General features: G+C 42.8%; 1 long non-coding RNA gene across 1 annotated transcript in view; it reads left to right on the forward strand.

Annotated features, from left to right (window-relative positions):
* The window catches only part of CCDC90B-AS1 (CCDC90B antisense RNA 1), a 140,270-nt gene extending 128,689 nt beyond the window's left edge, over window positions 1-11,581 (forward strand). Inside the window, exons 2-3 of the long non-coding RNA NR_186344.1 lie at window positions 4,728-4,885; window positions 6,761-11,581. This is a non-coding gene — a long non-coding RNA (CCDC90B antisense RNA 1). The remainder of the gene's footprint in view (window positions 1-4,727; window positions 4,886-6,760) is intronic.
* The last annotated feature ends 11,320 nt before the right edge of the window (window positions 11,582-22,901 follow it).

The raw sequence follows: 22,901 nt of genomic DNA on the forward strand, positions 1-22,901 counted from the left end.
ATAGGAGTGCTTGTGATTTTTGCACATTGATTTTGTATCCTGAGACTTTGCTGAAGTTGCTTATCAGCTTAAGGAGATTTAGAGCTGAGACGATGGGGTTTTCTAAATATACAATCATGTCATCTGCAAAAAGAGGCAATTTGACTTCCTCTTTTCCTAATTGAGTACGCTTTATTTCTTTCTCTTACCTGATTGCCCTGGCCAGAACTTCCAATACTATGTTGAATAGGAGTGGTGAGAGGGTATCTTTGTCTTGTGCTGGTTTTTAAAGGGAATGCTTCCAGTTTTTGCCCATTCAGTATGATACTGGCTGTGAGTTTGTCATAAATAGCTCTTATTATTCTGAGATGTGTTCCATCAATAGTTTATTGAGAGTTTTTAGAATGAAGGGGTGTTGAATTTTGTTGAAGGCCTTTTCTGCATCTGTTGAGATAATCATGTGGTTTTGGTCATTGGTTCTGTTTACGTAATGGATTATGTTTATTGATTTGCATATGTTGAACCAGCCTTGCATCCTAGGTATGAAGCCAACTTGATCATGGTGGATAAGCTTTTTGCTGTGTTGCTGGATTTGGTTTGCCAGTATTTTATTGAGGATTTTTGCATCGATGTTCATCAGGGATATTGGCCTGAAATTTTCTTTTTTTTTGTTATGTCTCTACCAGATTTTGGTATCAGGATGATGCTGACCTCATAAAATGAGTTAGGGAGTATTCCCTCTTTTTCAATTGTTTGGAATAGTTTCAGAAGGAATAGTACCAGCTCCTCTTTGTACCTCCGGTAGAATTCAGCTGTGAATCCAGCTGGTCCTGGACTTTGGTTGGTTGGCAGGCTAATAATTACTGCCTCAATTTCAGAACTTGTTATTGGTCTATTCAGGGATTTGACTTCTTCCTTGTTTAGTTTTGGGAGGGTGTATGTGTCCAGGAATTCATCCATTTCTTCTAGATTTTCTAGTTTATTTGCATAGAGGTGTTTATAGTATTATCTGATGGTAGTTTGTATTTCTGTGGGATCAGTGGTGATATCCCCTTTATCAATTTTTATTGTGTCTATTTGATTCTTCTCTCTTTTCTTCTTTATTAGTCTGGCTAGTGGTCTATATATTTTGTTGATCTTTTCAAAAAAACCAGTTCCTGGACTCATTGATTTTTTGAAGGGTTTTTCATGTCTCTATCTCCTTCAGTTCTCCTCTGATCTTAGTTATTTCTTGTCTTCTGCTAGCTTTTGAATTTGTTTGCTGTTGCTTCTCTAGTTGTTTTAATTTTGATGTTAGGGTGTCAATCTTAGATCTTTCCTTTCTCTTGTGGGCATTTAGTGCTATAGATTTCCCTCTACATACTACTTTAGCTGCGTCCCAGAGATTCTGGTACATTGCGTCTTTGTTCTCATTGGTATCAAAGAACATCTTTATTTCTGCCTTAATTTCATTATTTACCCAGTAGTCATTCAGTAGCAGATTGTTCAGTTTCCATGTAGTTGTGTGGTTTTGAGTGAGTTTCTTAATCCTGAGTTCTAATTTGATTGCACTGTGGTCTGAGAGACTGTTTGTTATAATTTCCGTTCTTTTGCATTTGCCGAGGAGTGTTTTACTTCCAATTATGTGGTCAATTTTAGAATAAGTGTGATGAGATGCTGAGAAGAATGCATATTCTGTTGATTTGGGGTGGAGAGTTCTGCAGATATATATGTCCACTTGGTCCAGAGCTGAGTTCAAGTCGTGAATATCCTTGTTAATTTTCTGTCTCATTGATCTGTCTAATATTGACAGTGTGGTGTTAAAATCTCCCATTATTACTGTGTGGGAGTCTAAGTCTCCTTGTAGGTCTCTAAGAACTTGCTTTATGAATCTGGGTGATCCTATATTGGATGCATATATATTTAGGATAGTTAGCTCTTCTGGTTGCATTGATCTCTTTATCATTATGTAATGCCCTTCTCTGTCTTTTTTGATCTTTGTTGGTTTAAAGTCTGTTTTATCAGAGACTAGGATTGCAATCCTTCCTTTTTTGCTTTTCATTTGCTTGGTAAATATTCCTCCATCCCTTTATTTTGAGCCTATGTGCATCTTTGCATGTGAGATGGGTCTTCTGAATACAGCACACCAATGGATCTTGACTCTTTATCCAATTTGCCAGTCTGTGTGTTTTAATTGGGGCATTTAGCCCATTTACATTTAAGGTTAATATTGTTATGTGTGAATTTGATCCTGTTATTATGATGCTAGCTGGTTATTTTGCCTGTTAGTTGATGCAGTTTCTTCATAGAATTGATGTTCTCTACAATTTGGTATGTTTTTGCAGTGGCTGGTACCAGTTGTTGCTTCCTTCAGGAGCTCTTGTAAGGCAACAATAAGCATGTAAAAAAATGCTCAACATCAGTGATCATTAGGGAAATGCAACTCAAAACTACAATGTGATACCGTCTCATGCCAGTCAGAATGGCTATTACCAAAAAGTCAAAAAGTAATAGATGCTGGTGAGGTTGCAGAGAAAAGGGAGCACTTATACACTGCTAATGGGAATGTAAATTAATTCAGCCACTGTGGAAAGCAGTCTGGAGATTTCTCAAAGAACTTAAAATAGAACTACCATTTGACCCAGGAATCCCATTATTGGGCATGTACCAAAAGGAATAGAAAGCACTCTATCATAATGATACATGCGTGTGTATGTTCATTGCTGCACTGTTCACTGTAGTAAAAATGTGAAATTAACCTAGATGCCCATCAATAGTAGACAGGATAAAGAAAATATGGTACATATATACCCTGGAATACTACATCGTCATAAAAAAGAACAAGATTATGTCCTTTGCAGTAACATGGATGGAGCTGGAAGACATTATCTTAAGTCAATTAATGCAGGAACAGAAAACCAAACACTGCATGTTCTCATTTATAGGTGGGAGCTAAACATTGAATACAGATGGACACAAGGGAACAATAGACACCAGGGCCTAATCGAAGGTGGAGGTTGGGAGGAGACTGAGAATTGAAAAACTACCTATCGAGTACTATGCTTATTAACTGAATGACAAAATTATCTGTATACGAAACCCCCACGACATTCAATTTAGCCATGTAACAAACCTACAGATGTACCCCTTGAACCAAAAATAGAAGTTGGAAAGAAAAAAATAAAATAAAATTTGTGATCTTAAATAATCTATAGCCAGGCTTTACCGATAAGAATCCTGTACAGCTTGGGTGAGGGAGTGTTCTTTTGGGATGAGGTCATGGCAAAAGGACTCAGGACCAACTTGAAGAGGCTTCCATCTGACAAAGATGTGAGGATTTAATCATCAAGAAGAATAATGTCTACAATTGGTTAGAATATATCATTTATGTTTAAAGCCATAATTATGATACTTTAGAAACATTTTTAGTTATTTATGAAGGATGCTCTTTCTTCCACATATTTTACCTAAAGGTAACAGAAAATTGATAGGACATCTGTTTTTATAGAAGTATCCACTTAATAAACGAAGAAATGATACAATCAGAAATCACCATTTTGCAGCTTCAAATGATATAATAGATCTAGTCAATGATCATCAATGTTACAAAGAGAAAGATAAGCAAGACAAAATGTTCTTTCAAAGGACCTACAGAACTTCGCTATAACCAATGTAACCCTTTAACACATAGTACTTAAGTGCCGCCAAGTTTCAAGTCTTGAATGGGAGAATACGGTTTTAAACATTTAAACACATGGATGGACCATCACCTACTTTGACTGAGTTGTCAATTTTTTGAAAAAGGAGCACTCCTTGAGATGAAATCACTTCCCTGTAACGTGTAACTGTACAATTCAAATATATCTCCTGTACTCTGAAGGCCCAGTTATTTGGGTGCACAGAAATCTCAATGTGCTTCCTTTATGTGCTTCACAGGTAACAACCCATGCCTACCCATTGGGTAACCACCTGGTGTCCAGAGCCATTTGGATGACAATTTCTTGCTCTCATTGACTCTTCCCCTAGGCACATAAACTCAGCCTTAAATGATAGAAATAAACGGGTTGAGAAAGATGCTTTAAAATACCCACAAACATCAGCTCTTCCTCCTGCAAGTCTTAGTTGGGGCAGCAGCAGAATTATGGCATCTAGACTTTCTGTAAACCCAAGAGTAATGAAACAATAGCAGTTTATTACTTATAGTCATGAGGTATACTCAGAGCCACAGATGGGAAGTAACCAGGCCCTTGGTGAAAAATAAAATCAGGCTTTTCCAGAGGAAAAAACCCTAGAAAAACACATTGCACATGTCCTCTCTCATTATTGATATAATGAAGTTTATCAGTTCCCTTCAATTAATGATGTAGGTGTCCGGCATCTGAGTCCAAGCTAAGCCATCCTATCCCCTGTGACCTGCACGTACACATCCAGATGGCCAGTTCCTGCTTTAACTGATGACATTCCACCACAAAAGAAGTGAAAATGGCCTGCTCCTGCCTTAACTGATGTCATTATCTTGTGAAATTCCTTCTCCTGGCTCATCCTGGCTCAAAAGCTCCCCTACTGAGCACCTTGTGACCCCCACACCTGCCCGCCAGAGAACAACCCCCCTTTGACTGTAATTTTCCTTTACCTACCCAAATCTTATAAAATGGCCCCACCCCTGTCTCCCTTCGCTGACTCTTTTCAGACTCAGCCCGCCTGCACCCAGGTGAAATAAACAAGCCTTGTTGCTCACACAAAGCCTGTTTGGTGGTCTCTTCACACAGACACGAGTGAAATTTGGTGCCATGACTCAGATCGGGGGACTTCCCTTGGGAGATCAATCCCCTGTCCTCCTGCTCTTTGCTGCGTGAGAAAGATCCACCTATGACCTCGGGTCCTCAGACCAACCAACCCAAGGAACATCTCACCAATTTTAAATCGGGTAAGCGGCCTCTTTTTACTCTCTTCTCCAACATCTCTCACTATCCCTCAACCTCTTTCTCCTTTCAATCTTGGCACCATCTTTCAATCTCTCCCTTCTCTTAATTTAAGTTCCTTTCCTTTTCTGGTAGAGACAGAGGAGATGTGTTTTATCCGTCAACCCAAAACTCTGGCGCCGGTCACGGACTCGGGAAGACAGTCTTTCCTTGGTGTTTAATCACTGTGGGGACACCTGCTTGATTATTCATCCACGTTTCAGAGGTGTCTGATCACCATGGGGATGCCTGCCTTGATCCTTCACCCTTAGTGGCAAGCATGGCTATTTTGGGGGGCAAGCCCCCCCAACCCTTGTCTCCATGTCTCTGCCCTCTCTTTTCTCTCCACTTTCCTGGGGGGCAAGCACCCCCTACCCCTTCTCTCCATATACCTACCCCTTCTCCACTTTCCTGGGGGCAAGCACCCCCCACCCCTTCTCTCCATGTCTCTACCCTCTCTTTTCTCTCCACTTTCCTGCGGGGCAAGCACCCCCCCCCACCCCTTCTCTCTGTGTCTCTACCCTCTCTTTTCTCTCCACTTTCCTGGGGGCAAGCATCCCCCACCCCCTTCTCTCCATGTCTCTACCCTCTCTTTTCTCTGGGCTTGCTTCCTTCACTATAGGCAACCTTTCACCCTCCACTCCTCCTCCTTCTCCCTTAGCCTGTGTTCTCAAGAACTTAAAACTGCTTCTAAATCACAGCTGACCTAAAACCTAAACACCTTATTTTCTTCTGCAATGCCGCTTAACCCCAATACAAACTCGACAATGGTTCCAAATAGCCAGAAAACGACACTTTCAAATTTTCCATCCTATAAGATCTAGATAATTCTTGCCATAAAATGGGAAAATGGTCTGAGGTGCCTGATGTCCAGGCATTCTTTTACACAGCCGTCCCTCTCCAGTCAATGTTCCCAATGCAACTTGTCCCAAATCTTCCTTCTTTCCCTCCTGCCTGTCCCCTCAGGCCCAAACCCAAGTATTGCTGAGTCTTTCCAATCTTCCTTTTTTACAGACCCATCTGACCTCTCCCCTCCTCCCCAGGCTGCTCCTCCCCAGGCCAAGCCAGGTCCCAATTCTTCCTCAGCCTCTGCACCCCAACCCTATAATCCTTTTATTACCTCCCCTCCTCACACCTGGTCTGGCTTATAGTTTCATTCCACTACTAGCCCTCCCCTACCTGCCCAGCAATTTCCTTTTAAAAAGGTGGCTGGAGCTAAAGGCATAGTCAAGGTTAATGCTCCTTTTTCTTTATCTGACCTCTCCCAAATCAGTTAGCATTTAGGCTCTTTTTCATCAAATATAAAAACCCAGCCCAGTTCATGGCTTATTTGGCAGCAACCCTGAGATGCTTTACAGCCCTAGACCCTGAAAGGTCAGAAGGCCGTCTTATTCTGAATATGCATTTTATTTTATTACCCAATCCACACCGAATATCAAATAAAGCTCCAAAAATTAAATTCTGGCCCTTAAACTCCACAACAGAACTTAATTAACCTCACCTTCAAGGTGTACAATAATAGAGAAAAGTTATAATTACTTGCGTTTACTGTGAGACAAAACCCAGCCGCACCTCCAGCACACAAGAACTTCAAAATGCCTAAGTCGCATGTGCCTAAGCCGCAGCAGTCAAGCATTCCTGCAGGACCTTCTCCATCAGGATCTTGCTTCAAGTGCCAGAAATCTGGCCACTGGGCCAAGGAATGCCCACAGCCCAGGATTCCTCCTAAGCCATGTCCCATCTGTATAGGACCCCACTGAAAATCAGACTGTCCAACTCACCCGGCAGCCGCTCCCAGAGCCCCTGGAACTCTGGCCCAAGGCTCTCTGATTCCTTCCCAGATCTTGGCTTAGTGGCTGAAGACTGATGCTCCCCGATCACCTCAGAAGCTTCCTGGACCATCACAGACACTTTGGGTAACTCTTACAGTGGAGGGTAAGTCCATCCCCTTCTTAATCATTACAGAGGCTACCCACTCCACATTACCTTCTTTTCAAGGGCCTGTTTCCCTTGCCTCCATAACTGTTGTGGGTATTGACAACCAGGCTTCTAAGCCTCTTAAAACTCCCCAACTCTGGTGCCAGTTTGGACAATATTCTTTTATGCACTCCTTTTTAGTTATCCCTGCCTGCCCAGTTCCCTTATTAGGCCGAGACATTTTAACTAAATTATCTGCTTCCTATGCTACAGCCACACCTCATTGCCACCCTTTTCTCCAGTTCAAAGCCTCCTTCACATCCTGCTCTTGTATCTCCCCATTTTAATCCACAACTATAGGATACCTCTACTCCCTCCTTGGTGACCGATCATGCACCCCTTACCATCCCATTAAAACCTAATCACCCTTACCCCACTTAAGGCCAATATCCCATCCCACAGCACACTTTAAAAGGATTAAAGCCTGTTATCACTTGCCTGTTACAACATGGCCTTTTAAAGCCTATAAACTCTCCTTACAATTCCCCCGTTTTACCTGTCCTAAAACCAGACAAGCCTTACAGATTAATTCAGGATCTGCACCTTATCAACCAAATTGTGTTGCCTATCCACCCCATGGTGCCAAACCCATATACTCTCCTATTCTCAATACCTCCCTCCACAACCCGTTCTGTTCTAGATAAACCTAGCTGACCCCATAAATCCTAAATCCTTTCCCCACTCCCCTTTCCATTCCTTAAAAAACAGCCCTAAAAGCTGCTCCCACACTAGCTCTCCCTAACTCATCCCAACCCTTTTCATTACACACAGCTGAAGTGCAGGGCTGTGCGGTCAGAATGCTTACACAAGAGCTGGGACTGCACCCTGTAGCCTTTTTATCCAAACAACTTGACCTTACTGTTTTAGTCTAGCCCTCATGTCTGCATGCAGCTGCTGCCACTGCCTTAATACTTTTAGAGGCCCTCAAAATCACAAACTATGCTCAACTCACTCTCTACAGTTCTCATAACTTACATAATCTATTTTCTTCCTCACACCTGATACATATACTTTCTGCCCCCTTCCACTACCTCTCAGCAAGCCGAACTCATTGCCTTAACTTGAGCCCTCACTCTTCCAAAAGGACTGCACGTCAATATTTATACTGACTCTAAATATGCCTTCCATATCCTGCACCACCATGCTGTTATATGGGCAAGAAGAGGTTTCCTCACTATGCAAGGGTCCTCCATTATTAATTCCTCTTTAATAAAAACTCTTCTCAAGGCCGGTTTACTTCCAAAGGAAGCTGGAGTCATTCACTGCAAGGGCCGTCAAAAGGCATCAGATCCCATTGCTCAGGGCAACGCATAGGCTGATAAGGTAGCTAAAAAAGCAGCTAGTGTTCCAACTTCTGTCCACCCCCAAAATTTTTGCTGCCCCAACACTTCAATACTATTTTATGTGATTTTTCTTATTAATATAAGAAGACAGGAATGTCAGGGCTCTGAGACCAAGCTAAGCCATCATATACCCTGTGACCTGCTTGTATACATCCAGATGGCCCAAAGTAACTGAAGAATCACAGAAGAAGTGGAAATGGCCTGTTCCTGCCTTAACTGATGACATTACCTTGTGAAATTCCTTCACCTGGGTCATCCTGGCTCAAAAGCTCCCCCACTGAGCACCTTGTGACCCCCACCCCTGCCAGTCAAAGAACAACCCCCTTTGAGTGTAATTTTCCACTACCTACCTAAATCCTATAAAACGGCCCAACCCCTATATCCCTTTGCTGGCTATATCCCTTCACTGGCTCTCTTTTTGGACTCAGCCTGCCTAGACCCAGGTGATTAAAAAGCTTTATTGCTCACACAAAGCCTGTTTGGTGGTCTCTTCACACGGTCGTGTGTGAAAATCATTTTTTAATTTAATCTACACAATGAATTCTATGACTCAAGTGCTATTATTATTTAAACTGCCTTTACAAAAATCATAATTGAGGAAATTATGACAGTGGAAATTATGACAACCCCATCTTCCTTCTAACCTCTAAACTGTCTTTGTCCATTCCTGGGCATAGGCCTTGGGAAAGAATTTAGTTTATAGTTTAAATTCTGAAACAAAATATTGCTAATAGTCTTTTCCCAAAAAAAACCCCTTCTTGCCTGAGGACCAGTCTGTCTTTGTCAGACTAACAAATCAGCCACAAAATTAGAGATTGTGGTTCAGGGGCCATGCAGCCTCTGGCTGTAGGAGTCTGAATCTCCCCAAATTGCTCCTGGGAATAACATCACTGTTGCAAAACTTAAGATAGGTGCTTGAGATATTTTGCAATCCCGCAGCAGATAACACCACTCAGGCCAATAATCTGGCTCAACCAATTTGGCGATCCCACCCAGGAACAGAAGTCATCAAGAATAACTCACTTCGACCCCCCTATGATTTCATCTTTAAACCGACCAATCAGCACTCCCACTTTTCTAGGCCTTACCTGCCAACTTATCCTTAAAAACTGATCCCTGAATGCTCTGGGAGGCTGATTTGAGTAATAATAAAACTGGTTTCCCACACAGACTTCTCTGCATGAATTACTTTTGCCATTGCAATTCCCTTCTTAATAAATAGGCTCTGGGTAGGCAGCAGGAAAGGTGAACCCAATGGGCAGTTACATTATATTTTATAAATGAAGAACCTGAGGTTTAGAAAGATTAAGTAATTTAGCATAGGTAGTACATGTAATAAATGCTGGAGTTGAAATACAAACACAGAGAAATTCCAAAGCTGATATTCTTTACCATGACACTAATATAAGGCAGAAGTTTTAAGAGTGGTTGAAAAATGCTCACAGTCAACTTGGAAGAAAGACAGGTAGGAGTGATACATATACATGGAGATTGAGGAGAGGCTGGAAAGAAGACAACTGGCAAAGAATGTCACATTGGCAAAGGCAGGGAGGTAGGCGTTTACATAGAGATTTAGGCATAATGGGTTGAAACTATTTATAGAGTTTAGGGTGATAATAATGAAAAGCTAAGAACCAAAACTGTGGAGATTATCAGGTTGTTTCTCATTTAGTTGAAAGTGCAGGGGGAGGGAAAGAATTATCAAGCTTAGTCAGAAAAACATCTCTTAACCACGAAATGCAAAGACTTGAAAAACAAACCCTAAACTACAAATGTCAGAGAGTACTTCACTCTGAGATTTGAATCCAAATGCCATTAAAAGTTTATTACTTCCTGAAGAAATGCAGTCATTGAGATGTTGATGGGTGAACTTTTACTTAAAAAGGTTATTCTGAAATGCTGTGGTTCTTAATGGAGTTTTTTTTTTAAACCATGCTTTCTGATAGGAAACTTAGCAACCAGGGACTTTGCTCACCCTATACCCTTGAGACACTACTGTCCTCCAAATGTTGTAGGACTTTCTGCTTTCTCCTTAGTTCAGCTAAAAATGGGGTTCTTGTCACATGACCAGGAAGGATGAAGCTCATGAATACATAGAAGTGTGCAAAAAATGGAATTTATTGGGTGAAAAGGAAAAAAAACAAAACTAATCTCACAGATTGGATTCCCAGGTGACCACCCAAGAACAGAAGAGGCCAGGCTCCTCCCCACTGCAAATGGTGTGAACTTCCTGAGGCTCCACCCCAGTTTGCACTCCTCCCAGTGCAGGTTGGTCAGAGGTTCTCTGGGGACCTCTTTTTACTTGGCTCTCTCACAAACTTCCTTTACTTGGATTATGCTTAACTATCCTTCAAAGATCAACTCTGGTAGAAAGAGCATTGGAGGGATCCAGATGGTAGACAGATCACACACATTTATTCCTGGAAACTGAGCCATAGCCCTGCAGACTGCCTTTCCATCATTCATATTAGAAGCCATGGCCCTGTTGGCAAGGGATTTACAGAGGAAGGAGAATGTCTGAAAACTGTATTTCAGAACACCAAACTGGAAGGGGTGTTCTCTGGGTCAATACCTCCCTAGGGGTTGCTGTAAATAATAAGTGATCTCAAGTCCTTTCTAGAAAAATGGCTCAGAATAGGCTACTCAAAATATGGTGCCTTCATGTATTGAATATTTTAAGCTGAAGGAATTTGAGAAACAGCAGGTTTTCTCTCCTGAAGCAGGTCATAAGACTCTCATGTGAGAGGTGCCCTTCCTATACCTGGAAGAAAGGAGCATCCTTATCTCCGAACATGCCAAGAATAATATGAACAAACAGGCCTTGATCAGTTTTCCCCAATTTACTACCCTTAGCTCATACCCTTTTATTTTATCACTTTCTACTCCTCACCAAACTTAGTGTAAAAACACTCAGGCTTAACCATTTCTTCAGATCTTTATTTCCTTGTGAAGACTCCCATGTTATGTAAAACTTATATTAAATAAATTTGTATGTTTTTCTCAATAATATTTCTTTTGCAAGTCCAGTTTACAGGGCCCCATATGGAGAACCCAGGAGGGTGTACAAAGAATAATTTTTTCCTCTACTACACCAGTATCTTCCCAAACCCAGCACACACTAACCATTTACTTACAGAAGTCCACTCAGATGAACCAAGACATCAATCTTCTTGTCTTTAAGCAATAATTATTTTAGCTCACAGTGGTAACACTGGTTTACCTGTGATCATCGGAAATCTTGATTGACAGTTTGCCTTTGGTTACCAAAAGATGAAAAGAAAAATTTCTAATGATAAAATAACACAACAAAAGTGAAATACTAATAAATAAATATGGCAGACATTTTTGTGTCTTCATTTTGTTGATAAGGAAGTTGAGACTCAGAGAGCTGAATGAACTTGTCTAAGCTAGTAAGTGAAGCTGGGACTTGAACTCAGAGCATTTGATTCCAAAATATGAGCTCTTTACTGTTATTTAACTGTTATTATGAGGGGAAGGAGCTTCTACATAAACCACAGGAATAAGGGGAGGATCCTCAATAAGAAGAATTAGAAAAGTAAGTAAAACTATAATTATGGGAAGAATTAGAAAAGTAAATACAACTACAATTATGAGTCTAGATTGAATTAGATGGCTTCATGGTTCTAAGAGTCTCAAATGACTTAAAGTCTGAATATGTTCAGGTTGGGCATGGTGGCTCATGTCTGTAATCCCAGCACTTTGGGAGGCTGAGGTGGGTGGATCACATGAGGTCAGGAGTTCGAGACCAGCCTGGCCAACATGGTGGAACCCCATCTCTACTAAAAATACAAAAACTAGCTTGGCTAGGTGGCAGGCGCTCAGCTACTCAGGAGGCTGAGGCAGAAGAGTCATTTGAGCCTGGGAAGCGGAGGTTGCCCTGAGCTGAGATTGCACCATTGCATTCCAGCCTGGCTGATAGAGTGAGACTGTCTCAAAAAAAAAAAAAAAAAAAAAAAATCTATCTATCTATCTATCTATCTATCTATCTATCTATCTATCTATCTATCCTATCTATCTATCTATCTATCGATATAGATATTGATAGATAGATAGATATATCTGAATATGTTCAGTTAAACCAACTGTCAGATCAGGAACAGTCATTCTAGGAAAGTTCTGTTGATTGACAGTGGCAGCAAGTGTTGTAGACAGAGCCCTGGACAGGTAATCAGGTGAGCTAGGTTCTTCCTCAACTAACTAGGTGATCTTGGGAAAGTCACTTCCCAACTGGGGCTCCCTGGACTTCAGTTTTTCTATTCACAGAATAAAGGGATTTTCCAAAAACAATTCTTGGGAACAACATCAGATCTGTGGTATATTGTATTAGTTATCAATGCCTGTGTAACAACCCACCTCAAAACCTAGTGGCTTAGAGTATCAACTATTTATTATTTTTAAAGATTCTGCAGGTTGCTTGGCTTCAACTATATTGTTTTGTATTCTGTATGGTCTTGGCTGGATTCTCTTACCTGGTTGTATTCTGCTGGGAAATTGGTTGGGGTTAGAACATCTAAGAAGGCTCCACTTACTCAGCTGAGGTGGCTGGAGAGGCTGGTGACTAGGTAGATTTCTTTATCCAATAGCATAGTTAAAGTTCTTACATAGCAGCCAGTTGCTAAGAGAGCAAAACAAGAATCTGGCAGGCCTCCTAAGGGCTAGGTCCAGAACAGACACAGCATCACTCTTGCCACGTTCTACGGAACAAAGTAAATCACAAGGCCAGCTTAGATTTTAGGGGTGGGGAGATGGACTGTTGATAGGAGGAGCAGCCTGTGCATATAGGGATGAGAGAAATTGGTGGTGGCCAATCCTGGAGACAATCTACACACACTATGAATAAAGAATTCCATGGTCATGTAAGTGTAGGAAATCTGGGTAAAACGCAATTAAGAAGGTTTCTTAGCAGCAAATCTTATTAGAGTTGTTAAAATGCTCATCAAAGTGCCAAGAATAATGTAAAGTAAAGGCAGTAAAAGAAGGGTTACAACTTTTAATTTCTAGCCTAACTTCACCCTTCCTGACCTTCCTGCCCAGATCAATCGATATGAGAGAAGAGGAAAAAAATGTAGCTAGCCAACCAGGAAATATTTATGGTTAAACTGGCTACTATACACAATTGCAGTCTTTGAGAGATGTAAAATGTCTCCAGGAAGTTGCAAAGGACCTGGACCAATTTCAGTATTTTTTCCATCCTTCATGGAAACAGATACTTTTCTTATTAAAGCCTTCTTCTGCATTAATAGGGACTCTGGACTTGTTGCTGAGCAAATGATTTCTTTCTGCCTTCAGAATCAGATTTTTAATGAGTTGCAATTATAATTGTTGTGGGAAGATAATGAAATCTGGGATGACTTTTCAATTTATGTCTCATATTAAGCAACTGGCATTTTATTAACTGTCTGGTCAGCTCAAAAGCACAAAGATGACCCAACAGAGTGGCTGATGCTCTGCAGAGACGGTGTGTGTGTGTGGAAGCAGCCTCATGTGGAAGAAATGAACAGGCTCTGCAACCTGCCTGACCTGGCTTTGAAGTCCTTTTTCTCTGCTTACTTCTTGGGAATCCTTGGGGAAGTTACAGAATTTCTGTGAGCCTCAGTTTTCTTATCTATAAAATGAGGATTAAAAGTACGTAACTTCTAAAGGTTTTAGATTGATTAAATGTAATATTATATGCTTATCTTTTTATTCCAATCACTCATTTAACAAATATTTAGTTATTGAGTGCCTAGTGAGTTGCAGGCAAGGTACTATGTGCAGGGTAGCTAGTTATGTGGGGAGCAAAGAGAAACTTCCAGGCAGAGGGAACAGCAAATTCTAAGTTTCTAGCCTAATAAAGAACTTAGTGTGTTTCAGGATCTGATACAAGAATGATCAGCATACAGTGAGGGGAAAGCTGATAAAGTAGGCAATGGAAGGAACGTGTAGGATGTAGGTAAGAAGCTTCAACTTTACTAAGTGCAATAGGAAGGCATCGTGGGATTCTGAGTACAGAAAAACATGGTCCAATTTACAGTACTCAAAAATCACTTCAGCTCCCTCTGTAGATTGGATTGAAGGTGAGCAAGAGTGGAGAGGAGGGAAACAATTAGGAAGACATGGCATAGTCCAGGAAAGAGTTGATGTTGGCATGTGCTGGGGTGGTGGTAGTGAGAATAAATATAAATTGACAAAATATTTATAGTTGAACTGGCAGGACTTGATCATGGACTGGATATAGAAAGTGAGAGAGATAAAGGGGTCAAAATTAATTTTTCTGGGTTTTGGTCTGGAAACTGGGCAGGCAGAGATTCCATTTTCTGAGAGGGGGCAAGGGCAGGTTTGCAGTGGGTGTCAGGGAGAGCTTCAGTGTGGGCATGCTATGTTTGCAAGAGAACCAGTTTAAGATGCCAAGTAGTTGACTAAATGTCTGAGACTAGGGACAAGATCTGAGGTCTTGGCTGCAGATATGAGCTTGGGGTTGTTAGCATACAGACACGGTTTAAAGCTGTGGCACTGGGTGAGATCAGAGAGGAGAAGGGCAGGAGTGAGTCTTGACCTGAATAAGATTGAATAAAGAAGAAGGAGCTAGTGGCAGAATGAGGGATGGCCAGCAGGGTGGGGGAAAAACAAAAGCATGGTGCTGAGGAAGCTAAGAGAGGAAGGAGAGTGTTTGTTAGAGGAAATATTTGAATGCTACAGAGAAGGTGAGCATGAGGAACAGTGAGTGGTCTGCCCATTGGATTTAGCACCATGGTGTGGTGTGGGTACTGGAAGAAAGAATGGGAAGTAAGGAAGTAAACGTAGTACAAATTGATACCTCTTTTGAGAAAGTATATTAGGAAGAGAGGAATGGAGGAGGTGTCTTAGAAGGAGATGTGAGATCACAGGAAGTGCAGCAGGTATTCTTGGTTGTTTCCAAAATACCCATTCTCCCCTTCTTCCTTATTGCTCTGTTTTGGGACAGCAGGATGTTTAGTTAGAAAACTGTATTTCCCTGCCTCCCTTGCTATTTGGGGAAACCAGTGAGATGTAAGTAGAATTCATTGGGTGGAGTTTGTATCTAATCTCTCTTAAAGGGACAGACTCAGTTATCTTCTTCCCTCCATATTTCCTAGATGGCAGACATGATGCCTATATTGTGTCAGGCCAGGTTTCACTAACAGCTGAACAGGCAAACCTCTAACAACTGTTTCAGCACTGACTGAGTGGTTAAGTTAAATATTAAAAGCTGAAAGAGTCAGTACCCTTATACAAAGGCTGGAATGTAACAAAAACCCACCAAGAGTTTTGCCCAGGCCTTTCTTGGGCCTTGAAGTATGATGAGATAATGAAGGAATTCTTAACAAGACCCGTTTAGGATTAAACAAGTTTTATTGAGGGTCTGAAGAAACTCCCAAGACCTCTAAAAACAAGTTTTATTGGGGATCTAAAGGAAATCCCCAAACCTCCATGATTTAGCAGGAGAGAAGATTGCCCCCAGCACCTGGATCCATCCAGATTAAGTAAATTTACAGAGGCTCCAGAGGAAGGTCTTCAAAACTCAGACCTTAGTTATTCACTCGTGTCCATATGAAGAGACCACCAAACAGGCTTGGTGTGAGCAACAAGGCTGTTTATTTCATCTGGGTGCAGGCAGGCTGAGTCTGAAAAGAGGGTCAGTGAAGCGAGATAGGGGTGGGGCTGTTTTATAAGATTTAGGTAGGTAAAGGAAAATTACAGTCAAAGGGGAGTTGTTCTCTGGCGGGCAGGAGTGTGGGTCACAAGGTGCTCAGTGGGGGAGCTTTTTGAGCCAGGAGAAGGAATTTCAGAAGGTAATGTCATTAGTTAAGGCAAGGACTGGCCATTTTCACTTCTTTTGTGGTGGAATGTCATCAGTTAAGGCAGGAACAGGCCATTTAAAATTCACTTCTTTTGTGATTCTTCAGTTACTTCAGGCCATCTGGATGTATAGGTGCAGCTCACAGGGGATAATGATGGCTTAGCTTGGGCTCAGAGGCCTGACATTCCTGTCTTCTTATATTAATAAGAAAAATAAAATAGTGTTAAAGTGTTGGGGTGGTGAAAATTTTTGGGGGTGGTATGGAGAGATAATGGGCGATGTTTCTCAGGGCTGCTTTGAGCGGGATTAGGGGTGGCATGGAAACTTAGAGTGGGAGAGATTAAGCTGAAGGAAGATTTTTTGGTAAGGGGTGATATTGTGGGGTTGTTAGAAGGAGCATTTGTCGTATAGAATTATTGGTGATGGCCTGGATACGGTTTTATATGAATTGAAAAAAGAACAGAATAAGACAAGGAGAAAAACAGGTATTAAAGGACTAAGAATTGGGAGGACCTAGGACATCCAATTAGAGAGTGCCCAAGGAGGTTCAGCATAGCCCTGCCAGCAAAGATTTATTTACTTTAAGAGGGTGTTAAGAGTGGCTATTTGGAGATAGCACCAGGAGATATGAGCTGTGATGGCTTGGAGAAACAGTGTAAACCGGCAGTGTAAACAAAAGCAGGGCATTTATGAGAAGTTGAGAATGGTGAATAGGAGTATGACTAGACAGAAGATAGTAGGGATGACAAGTTTTTTGGGGCACAGTCCAAGTTGGTCTGGTGTCTGGAATGAGACTGGGGCCTAATAAAAAGGAGCGTCTATACAGGAGCTCAAATGGGCTGTACCCTGTAGCATTCTGAGGACAGGTCCGAATTCTGAGAAGGCAAGTGGTAAAGGTATTGTCCAGTCCTTTTTAAGTTGGTGGCTGAGCTTGGTGAGGTGTGTTTTTAAAAGACCATTAGTCCGTTTTACCTTTCCTGAAGATTGAGGACCATAAGGGGTATGAAGGTTTCACTTAATACCAAGAGCCTGAGAAACTGCTTGGGTGATTTGACTAATAAAGGCCAGTCTGCTATCGGAGTGTATAGAGGTGGGAAGGCTAAACTGAGGAATTATGTCTGACAAAAGGGAAGAAATGACCGCAGTGGCCTTCTTAGACCCTGTGGGAAAGGCCTCTACCCATCCAGTGAAGGTGTCTACCCAGACCAAGAGGTATTTTAGTTTCCTGACTCGAGGCATGTGAGTAAAGTCAATTTGCCAGTACCGAGCTTGATGCGTAGGGAGGGGAGGGGGGGCCTGAGAAATCCCTGAGGAGGAGTAGAATAGCAGATGGAACACTGAGAAGTGATTTCCTTGAGGACAGATTTCCATGATGGAAAGGAAATGAGAGGTTCTAAGAGATGGGCTAGTGGCTTGTAACCTACATGGAAGAGGTTATGAAATGACGACAGAATAGAATGGGTCGGTAAGACTAGAAAAGCAGCCCAAAGTAGCTGCATGGTCTGCAAAGACTTTTCCGTATTTTATTCAAATAGCACCTCATCAGCAAACCTTAGCGAATATTCAAACTCGGTTTCGACAGTCTTCTGAATCCCAGTCAAAACATTTCAACGTACATCACTTCATCTGATCCCCCCGCAATAGGCCTGGCAGTGACTTGGGGCTGGAACCAGTATCCAGTACCTACCACAGTGCTTGGCACATGGTAATAGCTCAGCGAACTGCCATCATTTTATAAAGGAAGAGACAGGCTGGAAGGAGATATTTTCCTTGGTCTAAGAACCATTTGCCTTGTGTGGGAAGAGATTGATAAGTGGAAGTTTCAATGGGGGAGTGGGAGGGAGTGACCAAAGTGAAGAAGAAAAACTGACCGTGAGGGACAGAAGTTGGAACGCTAGCTGCTTTTTTAGCTAACTTATCAGCATAAGCATTGTCCTGAGCGATGGGATCTGATGCCTTTTTGATGGCCCTTGCAGTGAATGACTCCAGCTTCCTTTGGAAGTAAAGTGGCTTTGAGAAGCGTTTTTATTAAAGAGGCATTAATGATAGAGGACCCTTGTGTAGTGAGGAAACCTGTTGCATGGTGGTGCAGGATATGGAAGGCATGTTTAGAGTCAGTATAAATATTGATGTGTAGTCCTTTTGCAAGAGTGAGGGCTTGACTTAAGGCAATGAGAGGTAGTGGAGGGGGGCAGAGCTGTAGCCTCAATGATAGATGTGGAAGATACAATGGCATAGCCTGCCTTTGCTGGTGAGTGGCGATTAGGCCTGTTGGAACTGCCATCAATAAAGCAAGTGTGTTCACGGTGAGGAACAGGAAAGAAGGAAATATGGGGAAATGGGGTGAATGTCAGGTGGATCAGAAAGATACTGTCATGGGGGTCAGGTGTGGTATCTGGAATAATGTGGTAGGCCCAATTGAAGTCTGGGCCAGGAACAATGGTAATTGTGGGAGACTCAACAAAGAGTGAGTACAGCTGAAGGAGCCGGGGAGCAGAAAGTGTATGTGTCAGGTGTGAGGAAGAAAATAGATTTTGGAAGTTATGAGAACGGTAGAGAGTGAGTTGAGCATAGTTTATGATTTTAACGGCCTCTACAAGTATTAGGGCAGCGGCAGCCACTGCACGCAGGCTTGAGGGCTAGGCAAAAGAGTCAGGTCAAGTTGGATAAAAAAGCTACAGGGTGTGGTCTTGGTCCTTGTATAAGAATCCTGACTGCACAGCCCTGCACTTCAGCTGTGGGTAATGAAAAGGGTTGGGATGAGTCAGGGAGAGCTAGGGTGGGGGCAGTCTCTAAAGCTGTCTTCAAGGAACAGAAAGAGGAGTGGGGAAAGGATTTAGGATCTATGGGGTCAGCTAGGTTTCCTTTTGTGAGTTTATATAATGGTTTTGTTAGGATGGCAAAACCAGGTATCTAAAGTCGAAAGTATCTAACCATGCCTAAGAAGGAAAGGAGTTGTTTTGTAGAAGGTGTTGGGGTTTGAGAGATCAGTGGGACATGATCAGCAGGGAGAGCATGTGTGTTTTTATGAGAATTATGCTGAGATAGGTAACAGATGAGGAAGAAATTTGGGCTTGACTGAAGTAATGGGAGCTGTCTGTGAAGCTTTGTGGCAGTACAGCCCCGGTAATTTGCTGAGCCTGATGGGTGTCAGGGTCAGCCCAAGGGAAAGCGAAGAGAGGCTGGGATGAAGGGTGCAAAGGAATAGTAAAGAAAGCATGTTTGAGATCCAGAACAGAATAATGGATTGTGGAGGGAGGTGTTGAGGATAGGAGAGTATATGGATTTGGCACCACGGGGTGGATAGGCAAAACAATTTGGTTGATAAGATGCAGATCCTGAACTAACCTGTAAGCCTTGTCTGGTTTTACGACAGGTGAAATGGGGGAATTTTAAGGGGAGTTTATAGGCTTTAAAAGGCCATGCTGTAGCAGGTGAGTGATAACAGACTTTAATCCTTTTAAAGCGTGCTGTGGGATGGCATATTGGCATTGTGCGAGGTAAGGGTGATGAGGTTTTAATGGGATGGTAAGGGGTGCGTGATCAGTCACTAAGGAGGGAGTAGAGGTATCCTATACTTGTGGGTTAAGGTGGGGAGATTCAAGGGGAGGATGTGAAGAAGGCTTTGAACTGGGGGAAAAGGCAGCAAGGAGGTGTGGCTGTAGCCCAGGAATAGTCAGGGAAGCAGATAATTTAAAGTGTCTCAGCCTAATGGGGAGGTCGGGATAACTGAAAAGGAGTGCTTAAAAGCGTATTGTCTAAGTTGACACCAGAGTTGGGGAGTTTTAAGAGGTTTAGAAGCCTGGCCTTCAATGCCCACAACAGTTACGGAGGCAAGGGAAACAGGCCCTTGAAAAGAAGGTAATGTGGAGTGGGTAGCCTCCGTATTGATTAAGAAGGGGACGGACTTATCCTCCACTGTGAGAGTTACCTGAAGATCGGCATCCCTGATGGTCTAGGGGGCTTCTGAGGTGATCGAGCAGCGTCAGTCTTCAGCTGCTAAGCTGAAGGAGTCAGTCAGAGAGCCTTGGGCCAGAGTTCCAGGGGCTCTGGAAGCGGCTGCCAGGTGAGTTGAACAGCCTGATTTTCAGTGGGGTCCTGCACAGATGGGACATGGCTTAGGAATCCCAGGCTGGGGGCATTCCTTGGCCCAGTGGCCAGATTTCCGGCACTTGTAGCAAGCTCCTGGGGGAGGTGGGGTTGGTGGAATGCCTGGCAGCTGCGGTTCAGGCGTTTGGAAGTTCTTGTGTGCTGGAGATGTGGCTGGGGTTTGTCTCACAGTGGAGGCAAGGAATTGCAACTCAGAAATACATTGCTACTTGGCTGCCTCTACTCTATTATTGTACACCTTGAAGGCAAGGTTAATTAAGTCCTGTTGTGGGGTTTGAGGGCCGGAATTTAATTTTTGGAGCTTTATTTAATGTCGGGAGCAGATTGGGTAATAAAATAAAATGCATATTGAGAGTAAGACGGCCTTCTGACCTTTCAGGGTCTAGGGCTGTAAAGTGTCTCAGGGTTGCTGCTAACTGGGCCATGAACTGGGCTGGGTTTTTCGTATTTCATGAGAAAGAGCCTAAATGCTAATTTATTTGGGAGAGGTCGGATAAAGAAAAAGGAGCATTAACCTTGACTATGCCTTTAGCTCCAGCCACCTTTTTAAGAGGAAATTGCTGGGCAGGTGGTGGAACAGAACTGTAAGCCGGACCGAGTGTGAGGAGGGAAGGTGATAAAAGGATTATAGGGTGGAGGAGCAGAGGCTGAGGAAGAATTGGGACCTAGCTCGGGCTGGCGAGGAGGGGAGAGGTCAGATGGGTCTGTAGAAAAGGAAGATTAGAAAGACTCAGCGACGCTTGGGGTTGGGACTGAGGGGACAGGCAGGAGGGAAAGAAGAAAGATTTGGGACAAGTTGCATTGGGAACAGAAACTAGAGAGGGACCGATTTGTGAAAGAACGCCTGGCCATCAGGCACCTCAGATCATTTGCCTATTTTATGACAAGAATTATTTAGATCTTGGAGGATGGAAAAATCAAAAGTGCCATTTTCTGGCTATTTGGAACCACTGTCAAGTTTGTATTGGGGTCAAGCAGCATTGCAGAAGAAAATAAGGTGTTTAGGTTTTAGGTCAGGTGACAGTTGAGGTTTTAAGTTCTTGAGAACACAGGTGGATCTTTCTCACAGAGCAAAGAGCAGGACAGGGGATTGATCTCCCGAGGGAGATTCCCCCCTCCCATCCAAGTCAGGGCACGAAAATTTCACTCGCGTCCATGTGAAGAGACCACCAAACAGGCTTTGTGTGAGCAACAAGGCTGTTTATTTCACCTGGGTGCAGGCAGGCTGAGTCTGAAAAGAGATTCAGTGAAGGGAGAATAGGGGTCGGGCCGTTTTATAAGATTTAGGTATGTAAAGGAAAATTACAGTCAAAGGAGGGGGGTTCTCTGGCGGGCAGGAGTGGGGGTCCAGGGTGCTCAGTGGGGGAGCTTTTTGAGCCAGGATGAGCCAGGAGAAGGAATTTCAGAAGGTAATGTCATTAGTTAAGGCAAGGACTGGCCATTTTCACTTCTTTTGTGGTGGAATGTCATCAGTTAAGGCAGGAACAGGCCATTTAAAATTCACTCCTTTTGTGATTCTTCAGTTACTTCTGGCCATCTGGATGTATAGGTGCAGGTCACAGGGGATATGATGGCTTAGCTTGGGCTTAAGAGGCCTGAGAGTTATAGATTAGAAGTTAATCACTTGCGTCTTTAGAGGCATACACACTTAAATGTAGACGTATAGCTTAGAAGGTACATAAGCTCTGGAAAACTTTGTAATTTTGAGTTGGTCTGGCAATATTTTCCAGGCCTTCTTTCTGTACCTGGTTACAGAAAAAAACTCCCCTCTTTTCCCAGTTCATCTGCATCTCATTATTGGGCCATAAGAATAAACAGCCTGACCCTCGGTTTGGTCCAGGAACAATATGAAGCAACCATGAGAAGACCTCCAGGAGAGAAGCGCCAGTTAAGGAAACAGAATAGAAAGATTGGGAAGTAAACTAGGGCATGAAAAATATTTTTAGAGATGAGATACCAGAGTATGTTTGCATGTTGGTGTGAGCCAGGGGCATGATGGCAGGACTGCAGCCCTTGAAAAGGCCAGAGTAGAGAGATCCTGGGCATATGTTGATGACTTGGCCTTTGACAGGCTGCTGCAGAGGGTGTAGGACACTTCCAGTGCTCCTTTCCTGAGGAAAATACCTGTGGCAACTCTCACATTCCATTGCCCTTTTCATCCTTTGTCCTTTTCCCCACAGACTGGAAACTTCTGTCTCTTCCTCCTCAAAGTCATTCCTCACACTGCTGCCACAGTGAGCGTTCTAAAACGCACATATGATTTTTAAAACACTGAGGAGCTCCTCATTGCTTACAGGATGAAGTAACATCCTTGCCTTGTATTTAGACATTCTCTCCTTGGTCTTTTCAGCTTCCAGTCTTCAGCATTTCCTAAGCATTCTATGTACCAGGCATACCTGGCTGTTTGCACGTCCCTAAAGGTGCCTGTATTTTCCCCACTATATGCATTTCTTCATACTTTCCCCTTGTCCTATACCCTTCTTTCTTTCTCTTTGCACAGATTTACCTTCAAGGAGCATTCTCTGCCTACTCCCACTCCAGGTTCCCACTGCAGATTCTCCTTAACTCTGTGAGCTGCCCAGAAGTCTCCCATAAAATATATATTCTTGACTAAATTAGCTGGAGTTTATGGATCAGAGATGCCATATAAAATATAATTTTGGCCAGGTGTGGTGGCTCACGCCTGTAATCCCAGTACTTTGGGAGGCTGAGGTGGGTGAATCACCTAAAGTC

This window comes from Homo sapiens, chromosome 11 (assembly GCF_000001405.40).
Source record: "Homo sapiens chromosome 11, GRCh38.p14 Primary Assembly".
NCBI lineage: Eukaryota > Metazoa > Chordata > Mammalia > Primates > Hominidae > Homo > Homo sapiens.